The sequence below is a fragment of the Homo sapiens genome, chromosome 2 (assembly GCF_000001405.40).
Source record: "Homo sapiens chromosome 2, GRCh38.p14 Primary Assembly".
Lineage (NCBI taxonomy): Eukaryota > Metazoa > Chordata > Mammalia > Primates > Hominidae > Homo > Homo sapiens.
In genome coordinates this window covers 212,532,244-212,539,458 of record NC_000002.12, presented here as the reverse complement: position 1 = coordinate 212,539,458, position 7,215 = coordinate 212,532,244, and the positions used below count along the sequence as shown (strand labels likewise).

The 7,215-nt window shown below is 45.0% G+C and overlaps 1 protein-coding gene across 10 annotated transcripts in view, besides 1 other annotated feature; it reads left to right on the top strand.

Moving 5' to 3' along the window:
- Positions 657-7,215, top strand: part of ERBB4 (erb-b2 receptor tyrosine kinase 4) — a 1,163,086-nt gene continuing 1,156,527 nt past the window's right edge. For all 10 annotated transcript variants that reach the window (NM_001042599.2, NM_005235.3, NM_001439006.1 and 7 more), the window contains exon 1: positions 657-1,010. In NM_001042599.2, the coding sequence (NP_001036064.1) occupies positions 929-1,010 (82 nt within the window). In that variant the 5' untranslated portion in view covers positions 657-928. The remainder of the gene's footprint in view (positions 1,011-7,215) is intronic.
- Positions 1,626-2,126: an enhancer, noted in NCBI's record as "H3K4me1 hESC enhancer chr2:213402057-213402557 (GRCh37/hg19 assembly coordinates)". NCBI's record gives its function as "activates a minimal SCP1, AML or CMV promoter by ChIP-STARR-seq in primed H9 embryonic stem cells {active_cell/tissue: H9 hESC(primed)}" and the evidence as "EXISTENCE:reporter gene assay evidence [ECO:0000049][PMID:30033119]".

Here is a 7,215-nt window from a genome sequence, read left to right as displayed (position 1 = left end):
CTTCAGTGCATGGCTTCGGTGAGCCCTTTAAATCCAGCTTCCCCTGCCCCCACCAAGAGGCTCCCTTTCCCTGACAGGTGTTTTCCCAACTCCGGAGGCCCAGGATTTTGGGGAGTGGCTGAGCCAATAAGATTTCCCTTTGGAAGGGGGGGGGAAGGGCGTGGCTAGTTGGGTCAGAGCATGGGCGGGGTTTGCGCGGCTGAGCAGAGCCGGCCTGGTTGCGTGGAGGGTTGTTTTATTCCCACCGCCCCCCGCACCTTTTTTTTTTTTTTTTCTGGAGTCTTATTAATTTCTCTGTGGGCTGCAGCTGGAGACCGCGGAGCGCTGGAAATGACGCTCGGAGCTTTAATTACCGCAGCCGCCGGACAAGTGTGAGGAAAGCTGAGAGGAAAAAGAAGGACGGGATCCGGGGAGAAGCGAGAAGCTCCCCCCGCCCCGCTCCCCTCCCGATTTGGACTGGAGGTGCAAGGAAACTGAAGAAGGAGCAGAACATAGCCCGGCTGCGGGGAGAGGCCGGAAACCTACCGCCTCTTTGCAATCAACTTTTTTTGGAAACCTTTCGCCCCCCTTCCTTTTTTATTGTTGACCAACCAGTGAGAGAGAGAGAAAGTGAGGAGGGAGCGAGCAAGCGAAGGCTCACGCGGGGAAATAGCTGCACAGTCCGGCCCAGAGCGCCAAGCGCACACACCGAGCACACTCCCACACGCGCACACACGCGCTCACACTCGCCCCCTCCTCGGGCCCCGGCCCTGGACCCGCGGGCGCGGACTCGGTCGCCCGCCCTGGGAGTCGCCACACCGCGCGCGCCGCGCCCGCCCCCCTCGCACCCCCACGCGCGCCCGGCTGGGGGATCTCCTCCGCGTGCCCGAAAGGGGGATATGCCATTTGGACATGTAATTGTCAGCACGGGATCTGAGACTTCCAAAAAATGAAGCCGGCGACAGGACTTTGGGTCTGGGTGAGCCTTCTCGTGGCGGCGGGGACCGTCCAGCCCAGCGATTCTCAGTCAGGTGGGTTCCTTCTGGCACTCCGGTCGCCGAACCTGCAGCCGCCGGCGGGGCTGCCTCGAGTGGCTCCCCTGCCCTCTTCACCCATCCCGGGAGGCGTGGAGGGACCGCTTGACCGGGGCCTCTTCCCTGGGCTTTCGGTCACCCCTCTTTCCATTTGAAACTTACCCTGTATGTGTGCGTTTGCTTTATTTATCGTGAAAAATCACTCTGAGTCCCTCTTTTCTCTCCTTAACCCCCTGCTTTTCTTTCCCGAGCGTTTTGTTTGGGAGCCTAAGCGGGATCCCTTCTGGTGGCGCCTGTTGTTCGGGACATGGGAGACCCAAATCCCCAGTCAGAGGAGACTCTTCTGTCCCTGTCGGGTCCCCGAGGGCAGAACCCGCACCGCCGGGGCCGCGGTCCTGGGGCGGTGCTGGCTGGGCCTCTCCCGAGCCGAGCCCGAAGGGCGGTGGAGAGCGGCGCTCAGAAAATCGGGCTTTGCACCTGTGTGTGCTGCTGGCGACCGCTGCGCCCCCAGTCGCCCGAGCCTTGTGGCGTCAGACGCAACTCGCGCCCAGCCCGGGCAGCCGGAGTGCAGCAGGCGGGCGCGCCTCGGTCCGGGGCCCGGAGTTCTGGGCCTCTTCCGCCGGCTTCCCGGAGCCCTCTCCCCATTGACTTGAGGGGCGCTTACTCGCCTGCCTGACCTCTTAAAAAAAAAAAAAAAGGCTTGGCACACTTGAGCCAGAAGCCCGGCCTTCCCGTCGGTTGCCGTGTTTGGCTCCGGGAAGAGTTCTTCCTGTAGTTCAACTTGCTATTGGCCGGAGTCCTTCAAACTTGTCTGTTTACTGCCCGGCCAGGCTGCCGAGCCTGCGGGTCACTGGATCCACCCGAGGCGAAAGCGGCAGCGGCGATGGGTGCGCGGCCACTGCTTGCTGGAGAGCTCGAGCCCCAGGTACCTGGGCAGGCAAAGGGCTAATTGACCCCGAGAGGCAGCGCGGCGGGGCTGGCCCGCCACGGCTTGCAGGACTAATGACAGCACCTGCAGTGCAATGGAGCTCAAAGTTTCTGACACTAGAGTTTCCTGGGGATGAAAGTGGGACGGGAGAGGTCTGAGGAGGACCGGTGTCTTGACGTGGCCAAGGGGTGCCTTTTGGAGAGCCAGAGAGATTTCCGAAACCATCCAGGGATGGTGACTGGAGCGTGGGAAGTAGCTTGAGGTGATAAAGCCCCCGGGAGTGGCGATAGGGAGCGCTTTAGGCCCCCGGAGGGTGTCCTTCTGACCTCACCAAGAAAACGGCTAGCTGTAGTTTTCCCGCTCCGCCGCCGCCGCCGCCGCCGCCTCCTTTGCCTAGTAAATAACAAGTTACAATTATCGAGTCTTTCAAAATGACCTTCGAATGGCACATGTGAGGCGTTTGTGCTGGCCGTTTGCACCCTCCCAATTACTCCGAAATTCTTCACGCATACCAGGTCCCGCGCTCCAGCCACCTCCGGAATCACACCAACACGGACTTGACATTCCAAGCGGCCTCTTAGATACATCTCTTTTTATCTCCCTCCCCACTTCGAGTCCCTTCATATTTTCCCTCAATGGGTTGATTATGCACATTGACCCATTCAAAGGCATTGGCGACCGACATGCAGGCTTAGCCGAGAGGAATTTCTACGAGGCGACCTACTGGGGGCTGTCTGGTTCAGCCTCTGCCACTGGGGGACCCCGCTCCGAGTCCGCAGCAATTTGGTATTAACTGTGCGGCTCCGAGTTGAGCTATGCCGAAAAGCCCTTTTCAGAATTTCTGCAAGGAATGTAATCCAAATTAGTTCTGCAGCTGTCCTCTTCCTCGTCTCAGGCGACACTAGCTCGCGCCCTCGCTTCGTCTCTTCTCGTTTCCCTGGGCGAATTGTCAGACCCACAAGTGAGCCCATTTAGAGCGCGAGGATTAGCGTGCCATTGTTGTTCCGTGTGTGACTCTGTACTTGAAATTCTGGGGGCACAAAGGCGAGCCTCACTTGTTCAAAACACAAAGTGATCCAGATGAAAGGGCCGCACAAAGAAAAGCTCTCGGGTGCATCCCTGGTATAATTGCAACACGCATACTAAGGTGATCCATTGGAAACTGTAAATGCCCCGGGGGACTTCGTTTTTCATCCTCCCCCACCCCCACCCTGCCGCACCTGGCAGGGAAAGTTCAGCTGGTTTTAATGCAGTGCTATTATAAAAACAAGTTACTGTCTGGGGTATGAGTGAGGCTGTGTGTGTTTGTGCCTATGTATGTGTGTGGCTGTGTGTTCCCAACTAAATACATATTGCGCGTCTCCCCTCTCGCGGTTAGCAGTCAGTAGCAGTTTGGAGGAGTTTGTTTTGGTCCAAATGAGAAATTAAGTGCGGATAAGTAAACTAAGCTGCCAGAGGGCGACAAGATGTTGAGTGAATTGCTTTTAGATGAAACAAATTAAGGAAACGAGGGAAGACAATCTGCTTCTCGCATTATTAGACACGCTTGGAGTTCAGGGGAAAGTGGCATATTTTTGAAATGCTAATTTCTTAAGCAGAAGGAATGCACCTTATTTACTGCTCTATGTGAACAGAATAAAAATATAGGGCGGGGGATGCTGTTGTATAGATCTTTAAGATATTTCTTAATTGTAACAGAAGAGAACCTCTTTTTTCTTTTGCTTGGAAAAAAATTCAGCATTAGAGAGGATGTTTTTTAGAAATTCTAAAGGACTTTGTCTCATTTTCAATTATGCATTTTATTTAGATATATCTAGATATAGCCAAAGTCCCTTTATATGGCAATTATAAAGCCTTTGCTAACCAAAGGAATGGTTCTAAAATTCGTCTTCCTTGTATAATGGAAAATTATCAATATTGCCTTGGTATTGAAGAAAATGTATAGTAGCATTGAGGTGGTACTCTTATATACCTTAGTAGATAAACGATGAACAAGTTCAGTTCCCATTTCTTTTTTGCAGGTAACTCAGTCTTGCTTTTCATTCTATAAAAGTACATATAGCTTTCGTACATATTTAAGATACATCATTATATCTCCAAAATCATGGGGTTATTTTTCATTTGAGAAGAAAAATGTTAATAAAAGTTAAGTGGTGAAAAAGGTGTTAAATATATTTTCAAGAAAGCATCAATTCTCTTTCTTACAAGTGTTTACTGTAAGCACATCTATCGGTACAATGTTTTCTTTTTAATTTGAAATTCTCATATATATATATATAAAAGGGGGCTTTTTAGAAGAAGGTGTTATTTTTTTCTTCACAATATGTCTAAATAAATATCTGTTAGTATAACTGCAAATCGCTTGGAAATACTATAACTGTTCTGTTGTGATGAAATGACTCCAGTTATATCAGTATTCCTTTTTTTTGCTCTTAAACTCAACTGCTTTTATTTATTTTAATCATGTATGCATAGAAAGTGAAATTTTGTTGAAAATCAAGGCACTTACTGCTTTATATATATATTTTCATTTAGTCACTGGAAATGTGTCTTAATTAAGAAATTACATTAGAATATTTATCAGAGCATGAACTTTGTGGAAGATTTATGCATTTTTTATTCTAACCTGAACACAGTAAGTTTGCATTGGCTGATTTTTAGAGTTTGCATTTATTTGATGGAAAATCGTATTTCCTCCTCAAAGTGGATTCAAATATGTAGTATTCATGAGCTTTCATCCCTTTGGTTTTTAAATAGAAGTACTATTTATCATCTGTCTTATGCATTCACCCTTTCTGTTACTATAGATTCTCTCTTTACATCTTAGTATTTATTGAGTTTACATGTGTTAATATATATTTTCCCTTCCGCCACTAAGTATATTGTTTTTGTTTGTGTCTTTCCCAGTAACCTGCCACTCAGCCACTGCAGGAGTCCTCTGAGCCAGTTTTCATTCTTTCTGATAAATCTGATATGGCTGGTTGGCCAGACAATCACAAGCCATTCCATTGCTCAGATTTATTCCTGAAAGAAAATAAAAAGGCATCGATCCAAGATCACTGGCACATCTTAAAAGCCTTGACTCCAAGGCCAAACCTTTCCACAGAGAAGTCCCTCTTACCCTTTTTCTTTCTTTCTTTTCCCCTCTTGACCAAGGAAGGAAGGTGGACCACTGCTATTTAAAAAATGCTAGTGAGGCAATGAATTGTGCTCTTTCTAAGTACTCTTGGAAGCTTGATTAGAGCCACCTTGAGATTAATGGCTATGCACAGTGCATATTTTAGACAATAAATTGAATTAGGATGGCTTAAACATTGCAATGCTTTAAAGCGGTATTATTTTTGTGTTATATCAAGCTGGTTATTAGGAAAAGTTAACATGTTCTTAAAAATAGCCATAAGTTTTGGCTTTATATTATAGTGTTCTGCTACTGTTGGATATCCATGTATAGTTTGTAAGTGCCTAAAACATAAATGAAATAAATGATCAAAACGGATTTTCTGATACCTACAAACTTGTTGGTACTTGCTCTGTTTAATTTTACCAGTTTTGAGAGATACTGCTTTGTTGAGATGCTAATATTTGTACTGAAATTAGTTTTTAGAGGTTCAAGCCTACATCTGTTCTACAGAAATTAATCACCAAGCATATTCCACTGTTATCTTTTACAGTGATCTACTGAGTATCCTGTGCAGGGTAGAATTTAATCATATTAACAACTTTTCTCCAGGTTATATCATTTTAGAGATGCTCTATTATGTTACATTTCACCATATGGAACCAAATTACATGTTTTATCTAATACTCATTTTCTGAAGTATTATAAATATTGGCAGTCAGAGTTAAAACCTTACTTTTTATGATTTCTAATACAGCTATTGACTGGAGTTTTCAGTTTATAATGAAAAATAACCCCTTTTTATGAAAAAATTGTAGGTCAATGTTTCCTGAAACTGTATGTCTTCAACATAATTTGAGGGAGACTTTAATTGCCTATTTTGTGGTTAAATGGGACATGGGACGTAGTCACATTGTTTAAATCAGGATTTCTACCTTGCAGAGACAGTTCTCGAGTTTCTTAATACCTTCAGCAACTCACTGCATCTCTTTGTGACTTGGCTTCTCTGCCTGGGAGAGAAATGCATATAATGCACTATTTCTGCACTGTACAGTTTTATGAAAATAACTTTAAAGTCTTTGATATTGAGATACATTCCACTAAATTGTTTTTATAGATGTAATCTAAATTGCACATGTAATCTAAAACATGTATACCTATATTAAGAAACATAATGTAAACTTTCTAGCAAACTGTCTCTATCAAAAGAGTACCTGTCTAATGAAATAAAGAGCTTATTAACTCAAAGGCATTTGTATTTGAGGGCAATTTCCCCAAAATATTATTTTCAGAATTGTTCTATGGTCTCTTTTATTTTTTCTGAGTTGTTGGTTATTCTGAAATATTTATTAAATAAATTGCCGTATTTTCCAATTCTGTAATCAAGATTTAAGGCCACTTCCTTGTTTTCACACTTGATACTTAAACTAGTGCTTTATATTTATACAAACTTTTCAAGAGAGGAAAGCTGTCCCTTTTACAATATGGAGTTGAAATATGTGGATGTTTTGTTAACTAATTCTAAAGAGGCTATGTAGCATGTAATAATTGTTTTAGAGTTATTTCCATTTTGAATTGTTCTGCAGGCCTGTCACTTTGCACAACTCCAGGGGGCAGCAGCCACATAGACTTTAATAGGAATAGTGCATGCCTTAGCTGTGGGTAGTACAGCAACAGCCTTGCTATTGTGTGATGCTAGCGAATAAAGCACTAAAAGTTAGGAGGTTTGGATTCTGGTCATACAATCATTTGTTATGTGATCTGGGATTAGACTACTTGCTTCTGTCTCAATCGCCTTACCTTTATTAGTGTAGCTAAAAGTCATGCCTAAGCTATTAACATCTTGAATGTTTTTAATAATTCAATTAATTAGAAATGGAAAGTTTAGACTTTTTAGAAAAAAAGTTTATTGGTTTTTAATTATTTTTGTAAGTGGACCTCTTTTTTGTTGTTGTTGTTCCAAGTGAAGTCATAGGCATAGCCCTAGTTTCTAAAACAGCTGAAAGGGTAAAATAAAAAGAGAGCTGTGTAGTTAAGCTGCAGGGAGGAGGCAGCTTTGAGGCCCCTGCCGTTGACATTCCCTCACTTTCCTTTCACTGTTGCCTCTACTCTCCTGCACTGGTGTCATAGAAGTCCGGCACTAGAAACCACTGATG